We start from the raw sequence: 20,340 nt of genomic DNA, 5'->3' as shown, positions 1-20,340 counted from the left end.
AGAAACCATAAACATCAGTTCTATGGGCAATTGGACTGATCAGTCATGTAGCAATAAGATACCCATGAATACATCTTTACTATCATGAACAAGTCTTTGTGTAACACTTGGGCGAAGACTGGAGGAAACGGTATGGTTTTTCTATTGGGAGGGTGGATAAGGGGGAAAAAATCATTAGTTTTATTCTTAGAACAGATGAGGGTGAAGATGTAACACGGTTTGATGGACAGGAAATGGAAACTTGCTACAGTGGGACTGGTGGAAGAGCAGAGGTGTGCTTTGTGAGGTTCTGGGGGTCTGTGTGGGTGGGAGTAACATCCTAGCCTGGAGAGGGCTGGTTTCTTCTTGTTCTTTTTGTTTTGTTTTGTTTTAGAGACAATTGCAGTGCAGTGGCACAATTGTAGCTCACTGTAACCTTTAATTCCTGGGCTCAAATGATCCTCCAGCCTCAGTCTCCTGAGAAGCTAGGACCACAGGCATGCACCACCATGTCCAGCTAATTGGTTAACTTTTTCTTTGCAGAAATGGGGTCTTACTGTGTTGCCTAAGCTGATCTCAAACTCCTAACCTCAAGTGATCCTCCCACCTTGGCCCTGCAAAATTCTGGGATTACAAACATGAGCCATTGTGCCCAGCTGAGGGCTGGTTTCTAGAAATGGTGGTATGCCAGGCTTCATACTGGGGTCATGCATGTGGACTGGGCTCATTGGCCTGATTGCTCTAGCAATATGTGGGGTAGGAAGAATCATGCCCCCTCTCTCCTCCTCTTCGAAAAATGTCCACATCCCAATCCCTGGAAGCTGTGAATATGTTCAGTTATATGGCAGTTGGGAATTAAGGTTGCGAGTCAGCTGTCCTTGAGATGGGGAGATTATCCTGGACTATCCAGGTGGGACTTTTGTAATCGCAAAGGTCCTCGGAAGTGAAGAAGGAAGTCAGGAGAGTCAGTGTCAGAGTGATGCCGTGGGACACAGTCTTCAGGGCTGTTGCTGCCTTGAAGATGCAGGAAGGGGCCGTGAGCCAAGGAATGCAGGTGGCCTCTAGAAGCTGGAAAAGGCAAGAAAATGGATTCTCCTTGAGAGCCTCCAGCAGAAATGAGGCCCTGCCAACACCTTGACTTGTAGCCCAGTGAGACCCAAACATCTAACATCTAAAACTATAAATAAGAATTTGTGTTGTTTTAAGTCACCACGTACATAGTCATTTGTTACAGCAAGCTATAGCAAACAATCCAAATGGAGACCTGTCTCTGGTTTGGAAATGCGAGACATTCTTATTTATTTGTGGAATATAATATAATGGAAAATTTATGGAATATAAGTAACTCCAAGAAGATTCTTGTCAACATTAATTCTGAGATTTTTCTAAGCTAATTTATTTTACTACAGTAAGGCCAGGAACTTTATTGCTTTGCTGTTGTCTCCTCACTGCCTCGATCAGTGCCTAATTCATTCCTTTTTGAATGAATGAATCTTTTCTAACCAAACTCATGAAAAACCCTAAGAAACACCCCCCACTTTTTTTGAGACAGAATCTCATTTTGTCACCCAGGCTGGAGTGCAGTGGATCACAGCTCACTGCAGCCTCAACCTCCCAAGTTCAAGTGATCCTCCCCACTTGGCTTCCCAAGTAGCTGGGACCACAGGTGCACACCACCACGTCTGGCTAATTTTTTAATTTTTTTTTTGTAGAAATCAGGTCTTGCTATGTTGCCTAGACTGGTCTCAAACTCCTGGGCTCAAGTGAACCTCCCGCCTTGGCCTTCCAAAATGCTCTCATTACAGGTGTGATCCACTGTGCTTGGCCCCACCTTTTCAAAAAAAAATTTATGCTAAATTGTAAATGTTAAATTGAGGCTCTTGTTATAGACAAGGCATATCATACTTCGCATTATCATTCAAAGATGAGAGGCTTAATTAGAGAATTTTCTACAGTTGGGTTTTAACAAGAGCCATTCTTAACTTCCTTGGGGTCTAAGAACTTCTTGGTACCTACACATGGTTGAAATGTTAACCCTGTACTTTGCTGCTTAGCAAGACTGCTGTAATGCTGATATGGTTTGGCTCTGTGCCCCCACCCAAATCTCATCTCGAAATTGTAATCCCCACACATCGAGGGAGGGACCTGATGGGAGATGATTGGATCATGGAGGCGGTTTCCCCCATGCTGTTCTCGTGATAGTGAGTTCTCGCGATAGTGAGTTCTCGCAAGATCTGATGGTTTAAAAGTGTTTGGCAGTTCCCCCCTAGCTCTCTCTCTCTCTCTCTCTCTCTCCCCCCTAATGCCATGTAAGACGTGCCTTGCTTCCCCTTTGCCTTCCGCCATGATTTTAAGTTTCCTGGGGCCTCCCACACTATGCAGAACTGTGAGTCAATTAACCCTCTTTTCTGTATAAATTACTCAGTCTCAGGTAGTTCTTTATAGCAATGTAAAAATGGACTAATACAAATACATAGCAAGTTAGGACCTTAAGTCAGTGATTAAAAAAAAAAAGTATTCATTATTTGTGAAACTCAGCTTGGAATATCTGATATTATTTACTAACATATAATTAATAATCATTGCATGGCATCTTTTAGAATAAGAATATTTCTAGTGTAGATTTATTTCTTTACTCATTCTCTAAAGAAATCTTTGCTAAGGCAGGTCACAGTAGCTCACGCCTGTAATCCCCGCACTTTGAGAGGCCAAGGTGGGTGAATCACCTGAGGTCAGGAATTCAAGACAAGCCTGGCCAACATGGTGAAACCCCATCTCTACTGAAAATACAAAAATTAGCTGGGTGTGGCGGTGGGTGCCTGTAATCCCAGCTACTCGGGAGGCTGAGGCAGGAGAATTGCTTTAACCTGGGAGGCTGCAGTTGCAATGAGCCAATATCACACCACTGCACTCCAGCCTGGGCAACAGAGTGAGACTCTGTCTCAAAACAACAACAACAACAAAACAAAACAAAAACTTTGCTAAGATCCTGCTGTGTGCCAGGCACTGGAGAAACAAAGATAAATAAACAAGATATGGAATTTTTTCCAGAGGAAGCCACATTCTAGATGCAAAGAAAGATAAGTGAGTAGCTCAAGAGAACATGGAATAGCAGTGCTAAAATAATTTAGGGTGCCAAGAGGAAGGAACTTCCCACTCTGCAGGAAGAGTGCAGCAGAGAGGAGGAGATATTTGAACCTAGTACTGAAGCACAAGGAGGAGCATAGCAAATGAAAGAAATAAACATTATTAATTGCCTACTGAATACCAGGCACCATGCTGGGCACTTATGTGCGTAATTTTATTATTTAATTTTTACCCTAAGGAAAATTGGATTTAGTTAAGTAACTTTGCAAAGCCACCCAGAGTGGCATTTCTATTTTTTTCTTTTTTCTTTTTTTAGAGACAGGATCTTGCTCTGTCGCCCAGGCTGAAGCACAGCGGTGTGATCACGGCTCACTGCAGCCTCAACCTCCTATGCTTAGGTGATCCAGGATGGCATTTCTGGTTATTGTCTTAGAAATCATTGGTTTTAACACTCTAGAGGAGAGACTGGCAGACTTTTCTGTAAAGGGCCATATTATAAATGTTTCAGGTTTTGTGGACCATACAGTCTTTGCTCTAATTATTCAACATTGCCACTGGAACATGAAAACAGCCATAGATAATACAGAAATGAATAAGCATGGCTGTGTTCGAATAAAATTTTATTGGCAAAAATTGGCAGTGATGTGGCCCACAGGTTACAGTTTGCTGACCCCTGGTCTAGAAGAGCAATTACAGGTACCATTTTGTTTGGAGATATTTCTGGAGAGGGAGCCTATAGGTTTCATTAGCTTCTTAAGTGGGTCAGCGACTACTGGGATTTCTGGTCAGTGACAGTTTCAGAATGTATTATAGAACCTCACAGAGAAATGATAGCAGGCTGGATTAATAATAGAGATTCAGACTGACCCAATTTTCTAGCATTTTACATCATAAGGATTAATATTTTACAGACCTCTGAGAATCCAGATATAATACATCTTTAGGTCATTAGAGAGGAGTCCAAAGAGAAAACCACACTAGTTCAGTGTTGGCAGAGGATTTGACATTGTGTGGCCATGTGTATATTTTAACTTGGAGATTTAAAAAAATAGGAATAGAGATGATATGTCTGGAGCCATTGGAAAGAAATAAGGTAAATATCTGAATGGATGACCTAGGAGAAGCCTAGAGTATACAGCCTCAATCCTGCTGTCTTCTGGAAAGACGCAGAAACAGCTGGTTAGTGTAGCAAGGAAGGGGATATGTGATCGGAAGTCCCAGCTTCAGTTTGGAAAAGCAGAATGCATCCTTGACATCTTAAAACAATAAGCCAGAAAAATCTGTCTTGAATAGTTGATACTGTGGGAAAAGTCACTAAGTTCAGAGATTCGAGTAAGGAATACTTTAGAGCAACACAGCGAATTTTCTTTTAAGAACGGATCTTTCCAAAGCATATCCTAAGAGATGTAGTGTGGTGGGAAAACACCTGGGAAAACCAATAAAGGACTTCCAAAATGTTATTGAAAGGAAACATTGGGAAGCTGTTGAAGGCATCTATCCCGGGGCTACGTGACTAAGAGGAGATTTTTCTCTTGGCTGATAATGGAAGGGTGGATAAGTAAGGTTACTTTGGGGAGCTAATTTCTTTTGAGTAAAACTTCTCAAAAATGAAAAGCAGATGAAGTTTTAAAGGTGGGTTCAAGGTTTGGACGGTTCCAGCTGGATTGAAACATTTTCTCTCCAACAGAGGAAATAGATGAAAAGTGAAGTCGGTGCCTGCAGTCTCTGGGGTCTCTGCGCCTGGTGTTCCAAGGAGGATTTTGATCTGGTCCCTCATCAGACTCTGTTGTTGCTCTTAGGGTTGGATGGGAGGAAAGAGGAGGAAAAGATGGAAAATAGAGGAGTTGTTGGACTCCTGGAAGAAGCACATGTTAGCCAGCCACAGTTACTCCAATCAAAACAATTTAAACTTTCCCTTCCATTTTGAATCCTGGGCACGATTCCTGTCTTGGCTGAAACAGATGTGATTTTGGGACATGTACAAAATCTTATAATATGGAGGCTGAGCCTTGCTGGCTTTCCTGCCACTGCACTTCACTCTAACTTGCAGGGATCAATTCCATACCGTTTTACATTCTCTTGTTGTTTCTGGCCTCTTTCTAGATGAAATGCAGCTTCATAAAAACTCAGAGTTTCCTGAACCTATAAATCTTAGAGCAGCTGAAGAAAATAATCTATAAAGCCGATAAATGCTTTGATATGGATTATGTCAAACAAACGATGTTTACACAAAAGACTTTAACATGTAGACCAATTAAAGATTCTTGTAATTTGACTTCTCTTTCCCATCAGACTAAGCCTTTGTATCACAGAAATGTGACAGAAAATACCCACACTCTGCAACCTGGCTGACATACTTTTGTTTTAGCAAGGGTTAAATAAAGGGGCTCTTCAAAGCATTGTTGATCTATTTTATAAAGCTTTGAAGCTTTTATTAGCTTTGCTGGAAATCTTTGTTTCCTGGAAAGTTCTCTAATGGAATATATCGCTTCTCACAGAAATCCATTTCTTAGGTGTATATAGTCAGTGGCCTAGTTGGTGGAGATGCTATTACAAGATTAAATTAATATCTAAACTGGTCCTGAGTCAACTATTTCCATTCTAAAATGTTTAAAGTCTTAAGGTTTAAAACTATTGGGGTCAAATTAACCTTTTCTTTATCTTTTTTTTTTTTGAGATGGAGTCTCACCCTGTCTCCCAGGCTGGAGTGCAGTGGTGCAATCATGGCTCACTGCAACCTTGACCTTTTGGGCTCAAGTGATCCTCCCTGCTCAGCCTCCCAGGTGGCTGGGACTACAGGTGCACACCACCATGCCCAGCTAATTTTTAAATTTTTTTGTAGAGATAAGGTCTCCCTGAGTTGCCTAGGCTGGTCTTGAACTCTTGGACTAAAGTGATCCTCTCATCTCAGCCTCCCAAACTGCTGAGATTATAGGCGTTGCCACCACAGCCGGCAACTTTCCTTTATCTTAAATCATGTCACTAACTCCCAGACAGCAATATCAATACATTTTCCAGCAATTCAGGTGGCTGCTAACCTGCTTCGTCCCAACATCTCGATCTCCATCTCCATCAACGGCACCTTCGTTCACTCAGCGGCCCAGTCTGGCCACTTCTCAGTGCCTCCACTGTGACCTCCCAGCCCAGGGCCATCATCTCTGTCAGGATGGCTGTGGGGGCCTCCTATAGAGCTCCATGCTTCTTCTCATCCACCTCCCTGTCTACCCATTCCCCAAAGTCTGTTTTCCTCAGAGCAACTACAGTGAGTCTTTAAAACTAAATTGAGATCATGTCACTCTCTTGTTTTTATCCAACTGGGGCTTCTAGAAACTCTCAGAATAAACTCCAAAGTCCTGGCCCAGAGCCTGTGTGGCCAGCACTCAGCCATCACTGAACAGCACTTCCTGCTGGTTATCCGGGCTCTCTTCCTTTCACTCACTGCACGCCAGCCAAACTGGCCACTTTGCAAGTTTCGTGCACAGACCAGTCATACTCCCATCTCAAGAGATGGGAGTTGATGCTTGTTCTTTCCTCCAGCAAAACTCTCCCTGCAGATGTGCCCCAGCCTTCTTCCCCAATTCTTCTGGGGCTCTGCTCAAATGGTAGCTCCTCAGAGACACAGACCACTTTATCTAAAACAGAATCCCCCATCCTCTTAATCTACTTCCCCTTCCCTGCTCTTATCAGCTGACATTCAGTCTCTTAGGGATCAATACATGTATTTGTCCATTCATTTATTTATTTGTCAGTTACTCCCAAAAGAATGTGAGCTCCATAGAGACAGGGACATTGGTTTATCATTGTACCTATAGTGCCTAGAACAGTACTCAGCACACATGGGCAACCAGGAGTATTGACTCTAGAAAAAAACTGGAATCCTTCACATTGTTTTTGGTCTGGGTGTGTAGGCTGAATCATAGTGCAGTTATGTTTTTTCAATAGTACAGTAATTTGAAAAAATCTTTCTGCTCCACTAAAGGTTTGCCATTTGACGGTCAAGATTTATCTTAGATTTGGCTGGGCGCAGTGACTCACACCTGTAATCCCAACCCTCAGGGAGGCCAAGGTGGGTGGATCACCTGAGGTCAGGAGTTCAAGACCAGCCTGGCCAACATGGTGAAACTCCGTCTCTACTAAAAATACAAAAATTAGCCGGGTGTGGTAGCACGTGCCTGTAGTCCCAGCTACTTGGGAGGCTGAGACAGGAGAATTGCTTGAACCCAGAAGACAGTGGTTGCAGTGAGCTGAGATGGCGCCATTGCACTCCAGCCTGGGCAACAGAGTGAGACTTCATCTCAAAGAAAAAAAAATTATCTTAGATTTTACTTCTTGCCTGAAGATTTTAGCAGTAACCTTGGCTTACTTTCAACATAATTAAACATTTGGATTGCAGTAGCTGAGTATTTCAGTGAGTTAGTGGTTTTGTAGGCCTCATCTGTGTAGACAGACAGCTACTGGATCCTTTCTGCCTTCTTTCCTTGGTGATGAGCAGGTGCATACTTAGCATGAGGAGAAAAAGCCCCATATTCCTCTGTTTTTTCTTTTTTTGAGACAGGGTCTCACTCTGGTGCCCAGGCTACAGTACAGTGCTCCTCTATTTTTAATACAAGAGAGTTCCCATTATTATCTAAACACTCAGAGGTAGCTTTAAGAAATTTTATATGGCTAAGGGAGCTTTATTCTCTAAAAATAAGCTATTAATAGTCGTCCTGTAAATATAGGGTGAGAATAAATTGGACCTGGGAGTTAGTAAAGGAAGTTAGACACATGGTTTGTAGAACCTTGTAGAAGATGACAATAGCCCTATTCCATGAGATAATTTTATTGGCATCATTTCTCTGAGCTGCTTTTAGAAAGTCAGATTTATTGGTATATAACTCATATATAATAACGTTGCCTCTTTTTAGTGTACAGCTTATTTTTTTTTTTTTTGAGAGACAGGGTCTTGCTGTGTCACCCAAGCTACAGTACAGTGGCACAGGCATGGTTCCCTGCATCTTTAAAGTCCTGGGCTCAAGCAGTCCTCCTGCCTCAGCCTCCTGAGTAGCTAGGACAGTAGGCGCACACTGCACCACCACACCTGGCTTATTTTTATTCTTTGTAGAGACATGGTCTTGCTATGTTTCCCAGGCTTGTCTTGAACTCCTGATCTCAAATGATCCTTCCCTCTCAACCTCCCAAAGTGTTGAGATTACAGGTGTGAGCCACTACACCTGGCCCAGGTGTGTTTTGAGAAGACCATACCATTGTGTAGCCACCGACATAATCAAGATGTAAATATCCATCATCCTGAAAAAGTTCCTTGTTGCCCCGTGTCATCAGTTCCCACACTCAGCCCCCAAATTCTGGCAACGACTGCTGTTTTCTATCCCTACAGTTTTGCCTTTTCCAGAATGTTATGCAAATGGAGTCACACAGGATGTCTTTTGAGTCTGGCTTCTCTTAAGCTGATCCACATTGTTGTGTGTCAATAGCAGTTCCTTTTTGTTGCTGAGTTGTGTTCTATTGTATTGTTGTAGAGTTTGCTTATTCACTCACCAAAGGACTTTGAGATTGTTTCCATATTTTAGTGATTATGAATAAAACACCAGTTCCATTTATGAGCAGATTTTTATGGAAACATAAGTTTTCACTTTTTCTTGAGTAAATACATAGGGTGTGGAGTTGCTGGTTCATAAGGTAAGTTTAACTTGATGAAAAAAAGAAGAAACACCTGCTAGGCTGTTTCCCAAAGTACCTGTGCCACTTTTTTGCATTCCAACCAGCAAAATGTGAGCGCTCCTACCTCCTTCAGAGCCTTCAAGCACTAACACCCTGTATTAGTCTTTTCTCATGCTGCTAATAAAGACATACCCAAAACTGGGTAATTTATAAAGGAAAGAAGTTTAATGGACTCTATGGGAGCTACAATTCAAGATGAGGTTTGGGTGGAGACACAGCCAAACCATATTATGCCCAGTGTGATTTTCCTCCTTGAAGAGAAACCTCGGAATATGACTTTCCCTTTTCTTCCCCTCAATTTTGTGTTCCAATCCCTTCTACTTAGAACTTTAAATTACTTTTATTTAGAAGTCCTTCTAGCTTCACTATTGCCGGAGTTTCTTTTTTCCTTCTCTGCACATAACACAGTGTGTTGTACTCAGGAGATGCTAAGTGCACATCTGTTTCTCTTGGGTGTAGTAAACTAAGTAAAACTGAGCTCAAGGGTAATACCCACCCTTAGTGAGACCTTGGCGTAAGTGTACCAGGCTCACGGGTCGTCTGTACGAGGCAGTGGACTCCTATCCCAAGATCTAGGGAGAGATCCCTATCACGTCTTTCCAGGCAAAAAGGTATCCTTAGGTGTGGGATATAAAACTATGTTGGGACTTTTGCAGTGACAAAGATCCTTTTTGCCCCAGGCAGAGAAGTCAGATGCAAATCTCTATGGTTATTAAAAGGCATATAGATTTATCTTGGAGATACTACTTAGGATGTCGTGAAATCTTGTGAAAACCTTTTTACCTCTCTCAAAGCTGTTGTATTATTTTTTTAAAGAGTGGAACATCAGAGCATAATGGTTAGGAGTAGGCCAGGTACACGGTGGCTCACGCTTGTAATCCTAGCACTTTGAAAGGCTGAGGCAGGAGGATCACTTGAGGCCAGGAGTTTGAGACCAGCCTGGGCCACATAGTGAAACCCTGTCTTTATAAAAAATAAAAAAATTAGCCAGGCATGATGGCATGTGCCTACAGGGCTAGCTACTGTTGAGACGCTAAGGAGGGAGGATCCCTTGGTAACATGCATCCAGAAGGCATCACTTAAACCTTGAGAAAGGAGGTGAAAGTCATCCAGGATCAATCAGGACCCATCCCCTTTTTTCCCCCGTTATGGGGGTTGATAGGCAGAGAGTATGAAGAGTGAACTGGAGCCCTTAGTGTATGTTTGTCTTACCAAACATAGTTTGCATAGCAGTAGGGTTTTTTGTTTGTTTGTTTGTTTGTTTGTTTGTTTTTGAGATGGAGTCTCACTCTGTTGTCCAGGCTGGAGTGCAGTGGCGCAATCTTGGCTCACTGCAAGCTCCGCCCCCTGGGTTCACACCATTGTCCTGCCTCAGCCTCCTGAGTAGCTGGGACTACAGGCGTCCGCCACCATGCCTGGCTAATTTTTGTATTTTTAGTAGAGATGGGGTTTCATTTTGTTAGCCAGGATGGTCTCGATCTCCTGACCTCGTGATCCACCAGCCTCGGCCTCCCAAAGTGCTGGGATTACAGACGTGAGCCACTGTGCCTGGCCAGCAGTAGGTTTTTAAGTCTGGTATTAGTTGTCCACCTAGACAAAAAAGAGCAAGGCCTAGCATAATAATTTATTTTCATGAAAATGTGCACCTATGAAGTCAGTAGAGAGCAACAGAAAATATTTGCCTTCGCCAGGTGCTGAATTGCATGGATTGCAACTGTATGGGATTCAGGAGTCCAGAGAGGGATCAACATATCTTGAGACACCACGATTGCTTTGACTCTACTGCAAGCTCCTGGGAAGACCATCGTTTGCCTCCTTTTTTTTTTTTTTTTTTTTTTTTGAGACAAGATCTTGCTCTGTCACCCAGGCTGGAGTGCAGTGGTGGCAATCACAGCTCACTGCAGCCTCGAACTCCTGAGCTCAAGTGATCCTCCCATCTCAGCCTCCTGAGTAGCTGGCACTACAGGCTTACTTAAAAAAATTTTGTAGAGATATACATAGGGTCTCACTATGTTGCTCCAGCTGGTCTTGAACTCCTGGCCTCAAGCAATTCTCCCACCTCAACCTTCTAAAGTGCTGGGATTACAGGCATAAGCCCTTGCCTCTTTCTTAGTTCTCTTTTTATTGAGGTGCCTACATGAATAGTGTCTCCTGGACCTTTCTGTAAAAATACACTTATATGATTGTATGATTTGCAAACTTCTTCAGGTTTGAGGACAGTTGGAGGAAATCATGGTGTTCTTTGAGGCACACTGAAATGTTGAAATGTTGCATTCTGTTTTTCTGTTTTACGACTTAGCTCATTATATGCTTTATCATCATATATACAAATGTATGCATCCATATATGTATGTGTGCATGTGTGTGTGTGTGTGTATATATATATATATAAAATTACGAAATATAAAATTGACTCTTCTCTAATGGGTAGATGGTTTTGTTGATTTGACATTTTATTTATTTACTTTTTACAAATGTTCAAATAACAACAGTTATTATTATTGTTATTCCTGTGGCTAAACCAACCCTGGATGGCTGAGAATTAATTAGCTGTAATTGTTATTTATAATCAAGATCAGGCATTTGGCATGAATTAAGGAGACAGGGAGAGGTCGCTGAGCTTGAATCCAGGCAGCCAGAGGTCTCCTGCTATAGACAATATTACATCATATTCACACATGCATGTATCTGTCACACACCAACCTGAGTTTTTCTTCAATGTTTGCTACTTATTTATTCATTTTGTGTTTGCTATTAAGCAAGTGGTAGGAGCCATCAAAAAAAACATACATTTAAAAAAAATTATGAATATACATTTTGAAAAAGTGTATGAGAGATTCTTAAAGTTGAGAATTCTGCCCATTAACTCAATTTTTCCACTTGTGATTTTGGTTAATACCATATCCTTGAATCAGAACATCTCCCAGGGTTTTGCAGGAGTGTACTAAAAAATGTATGAGGACCTGATGTGTCCTTTTAAGAACCTGTGCTGTCATGGGATACACGGGAAGGTCATCCAATGGCAGCATAAAGACCATCAAATGGGGAACGTGTCCCGTAGGAAGATATCCCCAAGGACAGAGGGGTAGTGGAGTTTCTGGATCTCACCAGGGAGGATTGTGGTTCTTATTTTAGCTCCCTCTCCTTGATGTGCCCTTGGCGTCAGTTGCTATTTTGACTGTGAGCATCTTCTTGCAGTTGCCGATGTGCTGATTGCCAGCAGCACTCACCGGGAGAACCAGCGGCTGCTCTGCCCACTGCCTCCCTGTCAGTCTTTCCGCATCTCTTTGTTGAGCATGGGGCTCATGCCCATGAAACACTGAAAACATACAGTGCAGGAGAAGAGTCCCGCTGATAAAAAATGAGTCTGATTTTAGAGGGAAAAGTCCATATGGAATATAGGCGTCTCTCAACCAGGGCATGGTGGCTCACGCCTGTAATCCCAGCACTTTGGGAGGCCAAGCAGGGCAGATCACTTGAGGTCAGGAGTTCAAGACCAGCCTGGCCAACATGGTGAAACCCCGTCTCTACTAAAATACAAAAATTAGCTGGGCATTGTGGTGCACACCTGTAATTCCATGGACCTGGGAGGCGGAGGTTGCAGTGAGCTGAGATTGTGCCACTGCACTCCAGCCTGGGCAACAGAGGGAGACTGTGTCTCAAAAGAAAAAAACAAAAAAAAGAAATATAAGTATCTGTTGATTGAGAGGTAAAGTACAGAAAAGTTGTCACCATCAAATCTAATATGTTCTTCATAGTGGAAACTACCGATGTTTACTTACTGAAAAATCCAGTATTTGGAACAATATTCACCATTCTATAGATACTGTCTTACTGTGTAAAAATATTACAAGTCTAGGATCACAAAGTCTTCTATAGTTTTCTTGACAAATAAAATGGGCCATTGGTTAGTGCTCTTAAAATGGTCTATTCTTTTATTATTACTATTATTTAAGAGACAGAGTCTTATTCTGTTGCCCAGGCTGGAGTGCAGTGGTGTGATCATAGCTCACTGCAGCCTCAAATCCCTGGCCTCAAGCAATCCTCCAGCCTCAGCCTTCCAAGTAGCTAGGGCTACAGGTGCATGCCACCACACCCAGTTAATTTTCTTTACTTTTTTGTAGAGATGGGGTCTTGCTTTGCTGCCCAGGTGGGTCTCAAACTTCTGGCCTCAAGTGATCCTCCCGCCTTGGGCTCCCAGAGTGCTGGGATTACAGGCATGAGCCACTGCACCTGGCCTATTATTTGTCCTTCGTCCAAGTGTTCCGTGTGTGTGTGTGTGTGTGTGTACGCGCGCACATACATCCCTGCTGCCCTGTCTTCTAATGCCAGCTTCCCACTTTAATTGTTGCTCATTGCTTCTAACTTGCCTCACACATGTGACAGTCCAGTCACTTACTAGTGGCTTTCCCATCCATGTGTTTGCTTCTGGAATTATTGCTGTCAGAATGGCAAGCCTTGGGCACTAATGTGGTAGGCAGCTATCTGAGGGGTGATGGATGCCTGGAACTACTCCAGACACAGTGATGTCTGCAGGTCACTGTGCAGTTCCAATCAATGGGGACCTTCTCTAATGGGGAGATGGTCTTGTTGATTTGGCATTTTATTTATTTACTTTTTACAAATGTTCAAATAACAATAATGATTATTATGCTTATTGGTATTATTATTCCTGTGGCTAATCCAACCCTTGATGGTTGAGAATTAGCCATATTGTTATTTATAATCAGCATCAGGTGTTTGGCATGAATTCAGGAGACAGGGAGGTCTCTGAGGATGGATGAAGGCAGTCAGAGAAGCTCTCCTGGAAACTGGGGGCATCCAGGCTGAATCCTGAAAGATTTGTATGAGACCGGGGAGGAAGTGCCTAAGGCTCTGTGAAAATGTCTGGAAGAACCAGGTTTCCTTGCTAAAGGCATCTAGGGAAAAAGGTTGGAGAAAGAAGCCAGAATAAAAGTTGGGTCTCATGGCAGCATCATCCCTGAGGTCTGCAGTGGGGGTTGTTGGCTGCTTGGTGAAGAGGGATAAGTTGCTGCTCAATGCCCCAGAACTAGAGGCACTTGCTACTCTAGTAGTTTGGTAGTATGTGAATAAAACTCACTGGGGCCGGGCATGGTGGCTCACTCCTGTAACCTCAGCCCTTTGGGAGGCCAAAGACGGAAGGATCACTTTAAGCCAGGAGTTTAAGACCAGCCTGAGCAACATAATGAGACTCCATCTCAAAAAAAAAGAAAGAAAGTTTATTTGATTTTCAGTTCTAGAATTTGGAAAATGAAAATAAAAACTCACCAGAAACATCCATTCACTGTGAGCACCTCCATGGGCACCATCTGTCAAAGCACAGGCTTGAAACATTAACCTAAAAGGATGCCTTTGTCTGGCATATCTCTCTTCCAGATGCAATTGGTCTAGATTTAGTCCCAGAGTCTAGTCAGAGTTTTTGCACAGGGGGTTGGTAACCTGGTGAAAGTCAGTAACAGTTTGTTTTGTCCGGAAAGAAATGCCTTGGAAAGGTCAAGAGAGCCCCGGAGAGAAGAGACAAGCCCTCCTGGTCTGGCTCCAGCTTAGCTAGCATCTCCTCCTGCTGCATTAATCATGCTCATTCTCCTTTCTCCGGTGCCCTGTTTTCCTCTGGAATTCTTTTCTGCTTTTATTCCGGTTTGACTCGTTTCTCGAACTTCAACCTGTCCCTAAATTTGGACCTTTTCCTGTTTGTATTCTTGCTTTTTTATTTTTCCTAAATGATCCTGACTGCATGAAAGCTGGTTGATGGTGGGGTTTTCCTGTCAATATATTCTGAAGTTTTACTCTCTAGTGACTGAGGTTTTCCCTTTGTCTTTAAGCAAACCAGATTTCTAGGACTCAAGTGTTTCAGGCACAGGCTTTTTTTTTTTTTTCTTGTGAGACGGTGTCTTGCTCTGTCGCCAAGCTAGAGTGCAGTGGCGCAATCTCGGCTCACTGCAACCTCCGACTCCCTGGTTCAAGCGATTCTCCTGCCTCAGCCTTCCGAATAGCTGGGACTACAGGCATGTGCCACCACACCTGGCTAATTTTTGTATTTTTAGTAGAGACGGGGTTTCACCATGTTGGCCAGGATGGTCTTGATCTCTTGACCTCATGATCCTCCCATCTCAGCCTCGCAGAGTGCTGGGATTACAGGCGTGAGGCACCACACCCGGCCCAGGCACAGGCTTTTTAAACTCCTTCTTTGTCCCTGAGCTCATGATTTCACTGCAGATTTTCTTCTATCTGGACTCACAGTTGTAGAGCCCCAAGGCGATTGCTGTGCACACTATGAGTTTGAGAGCCCATGCTCCAGAGGTCAGGAGGGGAATGAGCCAGGGGAAGACGTGAGCGTCTGGGCAGAGATTAGCACTCTCTTTAAGAAGAGGGAGGGATGAGAATGTTTCTATTCTGCCCTTTCTTCTTGGCTTCTTGTGATTCTCTTGGCCCGTTCCCCCCACCAGAATTTTGCTCTGTGGCCTAGGCTGGAGTGCAGTGGTGAGACCATGGCTCACTGCAGCCTCCACCTCCCAGGCTCAAGCGATCCTCCCACCTCAGCCTCCCTAGTAGCTGGGAGGTGTGCAACACCATGCCTGGCTAATTTTTTATATTTTTTGTAAACACAGGGTCTTGCTATGTTGCCCAGGCTGGTCTCAAATTCCTGGGCTCAATTGATCCTCTCACTTTGGCCTCCTAAAGTGCTGGAACAATAGGTATGAGCCACCCCACCCTGCCTTTTTAATTTTTTTTTTGAGTCAAGCAAGGTGTTGCTTTGTTGCCCGAGCTGGAGCGCAGTGGTACAATCGTAGCTCACTGTAACCTGCAACTCCTGGGCCCAAACAATCTTTCTTCCTCAGCCTGTTGGGTAGCTGGGACCATAGGCAGGCCCAGCTAATTTTTAATTTTTTTGTAGAGACAAGGTCTCACTGTATTGCCCAGCTTAGTCTTGAACTCCTGGCCTCAAGCCATCCTCCTGCCTCAGCCTCCCAAAGTGCTGGGATTACAGACATGAGCCACTGTGCCCAGCCCCTGTTTTCTTTTTGAGTAGTTTTCTTTTTCTTTCTTTTGTGGCTGGTTCAATAAGAGGGTCTCCTTTTCCTAAGCAGGCAAAGGATTTTTTAAACCAGTTTGGAGCCCTAAGGAGGAGTCCCAGGGGAAAAAGAGAGGCTTACATTGATCTAGCCCAGTTCTCAAGGCATCAAAGCTTTTTAGTAATAAAGAGATTTGTGGAGGAAAGGGAAAATGATTTTTTTTATTGTTGGAACAAAAAACGGTCTGCTTAAACCCAATAATTTGTCTGTGTTTACCGCAACCATCTCTGTGGCTTACAAGAATGAGTTCATGACTGTCTGAATTCCACCAGGCAGTGGTGACAATAATTTATTTTTTAACCTTGTGGGAACTTCACATGGGCTGACTCCCCTTTGACCCCGCACCCATCACAAGATGATTTTTTCCTAGAAGTTGCCTCTGGGGCTGGGCTTCTGGAGATGAACCCCATTCTCTCTATGCTGGATAAACCAGGCTTCTGACATCCTTCCTGTGGAATATTTATAAAAATGAGCGCCAAGGAATTCAGCTGTGGTTTCTTGCAATGCCTGGTGTGGTGCCAGCTGTTGCCCAGTTCAGAGCCCTCTGTGCTTGAGTGAATTCTTTTCTGACTTTTTCCGGCGGTAAGAATACAAGGAAGTGCTGAGTAGACAACAGAGAGGAGATGAGAAGATGGAACTCAATAGCCTAAGACAAAAGACTTCCCAAAGCCACGCTTGTTAACCACTAACCAGCTGATAAACGAGGGGCTTTCCTCTGTAGTCTGGGATTGCAGGGCTGGAGCCTTCTGTGTTGGGGACCTCTCCCAGGCTGAGTCATTAAGAACCACACAGAGTGTCAACCCTCGAGTCTAAAGAATGACTCTGTAACCTTGTGAGTCATCTTTCATACAAATTGCACCTCGTCAGGCAAACCACAAGGGGAAATGCATGTTTGCCTTAATTCTACTCTGGTACATTCTAGCATAGGTGGGGTTTCCCCTCACTCTTTGAGGAAAATAAATGCAGAGATTGTCTCTGCCTGGAATGCTTGACATAGACCAAGTCATAGCCAAATCACTCACCCTGATGCCTTCGGTGAGTTATTCCAGTCTCCTAACTCTCCACCCAGCATGTCTTTTTCTGTGGAATTGGGTCTTTGTTAGTTCCATCCAACTTCGTGATGAATTTCAACCCATTTCTTATTTTCTCAGTTGTCCCTTTGTGGCAAGGCTGCTGTTCCCAAGCCTCCATATTTGTTCTTTTGTTTTTAATTTTTTTAAAGACAGGGTCTTCCTTGTTGCCCAGGCTGAAGTACAGTGATCCAAACATGGCTCACTGCAGCCTTAACCTCCTGGACTCAAGTGATCCTCCTGCCTTGGCCTCCCATGTAGCTGGGAGCACAGGAGCACACCTCCACGCTCAGCTAATTTGTTCAATTTTTTGTATAGACAGGGTTTCACTTTGTTGCAGACTGGTCTTGAACTCCTGGCCTCAAGCAGTCCTCCCACTTCAACCTTCCAAAGTGCCAGGATTACAGGTGGGAGCCACCATGCCTGGCCATCCCTATATTTGGATCTGATTTTAAATTTGAATTTAGAAAGTACTCATATTTACCAAAAATGATTCTTGCTTATAGACCAAATAATACAATTTTAGTCCTCCCAGAAAAATAAGAGCTTTGGAGAACCATTGCATAGAAATGACTTTATTCACTGAGTTTACGATGAATGGGAAAAATGCATTCTTTTATTGAGCACTTTTTATAAGAGGTTTAAAAAGATACTTTAACCACTGCCTGTAATCTGTAGTTGCTGATGTTGATGAGTATTTGAAAGGGAAAAAGCTCTTTGGAGGCAGCAGATTAATCACAGCAGAGTATCCAGTTTCATTCGTACGTGTGGTTGTCTTGTATTGTTTGCTATTTTCTTTCTCAGATTTTTCAGTAGAGACTTTGTCCTTTTTCAGAGAGAGTTCAAGTGGATGGCCTTGAGGACTTGAAAAGCTGAGATATGATGATTTTGAAGTCATTTCACATCGAAGCCATGATTTAAATATCGGCGTTAAGGTAAGTATTGAGGAAAGAAATATGACACTTTTGTGGTTAACACATTATTGGCTTTGCTTGCACTGTTAGAAGAGATTAAAGCACATTGTGAAGGGTGATTTTGTTTGAATCATGTTCAACAAACCAGAGCTCGAAGAAGATTAAAGCGGCCTCTGTGATGCGGTGTGGAACCATAGACATACAGGAGAGCTGAGCCACTGTGATGGTTGGAAATGTCTTCATTTTTCCTCGATGGTCATGTGTCCCAGTGTGCCCTTTATGAACTTCAGGAAAGAACAGGAAAGCTTACAGCTGTGGTTTTCTTTCTGAGCTGAGCCGTGGCTATTAGGGAGCTTTCGGGGAGTGTGAATTAGATAGGACCTTTACATAGGAGCAGAGCCAGCCAAAGGAGTGAGAACAGGAGCACCCTTCTGGAAACTGTGCTATTTGACCTGCCTCTCTGGAGCAGGAGTTCTCAAAGTGTGTTCCCTGGAACACAGCTCCCTACACCACTAATACAGTGGGGACCTGGGTCAGAGGATGGGTCTATGCCTAAGTGCGTTTGGAAAGCATTGGATTAAAGTTAAATGACCTTCTTCAAAACTAATGAGCTTTGTGAATCTTGATGGGTGTGAGTAGTGGGCAGTGCTCACCAGAGTTCCATGGAACTATTTTCTTGTGAGGCATCTTAAGACCAGTGTTCCATTTGTTCATTAAATATTGATTGCGCACCAGCCATGGATGGTGTTAGATGCTAGGGATGCAGCAAAAACTGAGGTTGACAGTGCTCATGTTTAGATAATAAATACATTAACAATTAAGGAAAGGTAATCATTGAGAGACACAATAGCAAATGTTTAAGAGCCTGGTATCTGCAGCTCAGTGGCTTGGGTTTTAATCCTGGGTTTGACACTTAATAAACTGCATGATCTTGGAAAAGACATGTAACCTCTCTTTCAATTTCCTTATGTGTAAGATGCTTATAATAGTATTCACTTTGTAGATACTATTATTGCAAGGACTAAAATTATGAATATGTGCTGGCAAATACCAAACTTTATATTAATACAAGTGTCATCAGAATATGTACATATATTAATAGTAATTGTTACCAAAACACCAGGGGTTCAATCTGGGTCCTGCTGCTCACTGCACAGAAAGCCAATGCCTGAGACAACAAGTGTTGCCAAGGAAGAAGGCTTTAATTGGGTGCTGCAGCCGAGGAGATGGGAGCTCAGTCTCAAATCCATCTCTCTGACTGACCAAAACTGGCTATATAGCAGGGAAGAAATGTAATCATGTGTGGGAAAACAGGAACTCAGAAGGGGCTTGGAAGCAATCATGTTGAATCAGCGTCCACATTTTATTGTCTGGATGTGATCTGGTGAGTTTCATTTCTTTGATACTTTTTTTGAGAGGCCTGAAGGTCATTTCCTGAGGAAGGATCTCAGATAAAACAAATATAAGTTTCAAATGTTAAGACCAGAAAGTTCAATTTCTATGTTTATTTATTCTTTTTTTTAAAAAAAAAAGCTATATGGGACTGTTGGGTTGGTTTCATAATGGCTGAGTACTTTGAAGGTTCTGTGGTTGCATGAATGGAGAAGATAGAGTGATGGGTGGGGACTTTAAAATAGGATGATCCAGGAATGCCCTGAAGTAGAGACTTGTAAGAATGAGAAATAGCAAGTTATGCGGGTGGCATAGAAAAAGCTTCCAGATTGAAAAGCAAAGGCAAAGAGGATGTCTTGTGCAGAGAAAGCATTTGACAAAATCGAATGCCTCTTCATGTTTTTAAAAAAAAAAAAAACACTCACACTCGGCCAGGCACGGTGGCTCACACCTGTAATACCAGCACTTTGGGAGGCCGAGGCAGGCAGATCATGAGGTCAGGAGATCGAGATCATCCTGGCCAACATGGTGAAACCCCATCTCTACTAAAAATACAAAAATTAGCTGGGCGTGGTGCCACATACCTGTAGTCCCAGCTACTCGGGAGGCTGAGGCAGGAGAAGCACCTGAACAGAAGTCTAAGGTTGCAGTGAGCCAAGATCATGCCACTGCACTCCAGTGACAGAGCAAAACTCCAAAAGAAACAGAAAAAAAAAAAAAAAACCCACACATACACACTCAACAGACTAGGAATAGAAGGGAACTTCTTCAACCTGAAAAAGACATCTATGAAGAACCCACAGCTAACATGACACTGAATGGTGAAGGGCTGAAAGCTTTTCTCCTAAGCTCAGAGACAAGACAAGGATATCCATTCTCACCACTTCTGTTCAGTATTTGTGAACAGTAAATTTTAGGTGCTGTGATGGTTAATATTAGGTGTCAACTTGATTGGACTAAGGGAGGCTTAGATGCCTGGTAAAGTATTTTTTCTGGGTGTGTCTCTGAGGGGCTTGCCAGAGGAGATTGACATTTGAGTTGGTGGAGTGGGAGAGGAAGACCCACCCTTGCTGTGGGTGGGCA

At 43.1% G+C, this 20,340-nt stretch overlaps 1 protein-coding gene across 3 annotated transcripts in view, besides 2 other annotated features; it reads left to right on the top strand.

Moving 5' to 3' along the window:
* Window positions 1-20,340, top strand: part of SVIL (supervillin) — a 279,599-nt gene that overhangs the window by 61,082 nt on the left and 198,177 nt on the right. For all 3 annotated transcript variants that reach the window (NM_001323599.2, NM_001323600.1, NM_003174.3), the window contains exon 3: window positions 17,787-17,886. The gene's annotated coding sequence lies outside the window, so the exon portion shown is untranslated. The remainder of the gene's footprint in view (window positions 1-17,786; window positions 17,887-20,340) is intronic.
* Window positions 8,205-8,762: an enhancer, noted in NCBI's record as "OCT4-NANOG hESC enhancer chr10:29956022-29956579 (GRCh37/hg19 assembly coordinates)". NCBI's record gives its function as "activates a minimal SCP1, AML or CMV promoter by ChIP-STARR-seq in naive H9 embryonic stem cells {active_cell/tissue: H9 hESC(naive)}" and the evidence as "EXISTENCE:reporter gene assay evidence [ECO:0000049][PMID:30033119]".
* Window positions 16,120-17,319: an enhancer, noted in NCBI's record as "P300/CBP strongly-dependent group 1 enhancer chr10:29947465-29948664 (GRCh37/hg19 assembly coordinates)". NCBI's record gives its function as "activates an origin of replication core promoter dependent on BRD2, BRD4, P300/CBP, MED14 and CDK7 cofactors, with strong dependence on P300/CBP, by STARR-seq in HCT116 cells {active_cell/tissue: HCT116}" and the evidence as "EXISTENCE:reporter gene assay evidence [ECO:0000049][PMID:35650434]".

This window comes from Homo sapiens, chromosome 10 (assembly GCF_000001405.40).
Source record: "Homo sapiens chromosome 10, GRCh38.p14 Primary Assembly".
NCBI classification, from domain to species: Eukaryota; Metazoa; Chordata; class Mammalia; order Primates; family Hominidae; genus Homo; species Homo sapiens.
Note: the sequence above shows the minus strand (reverse complement) of the source record. Positions and strands in the feature narration are given on the sequence as shown.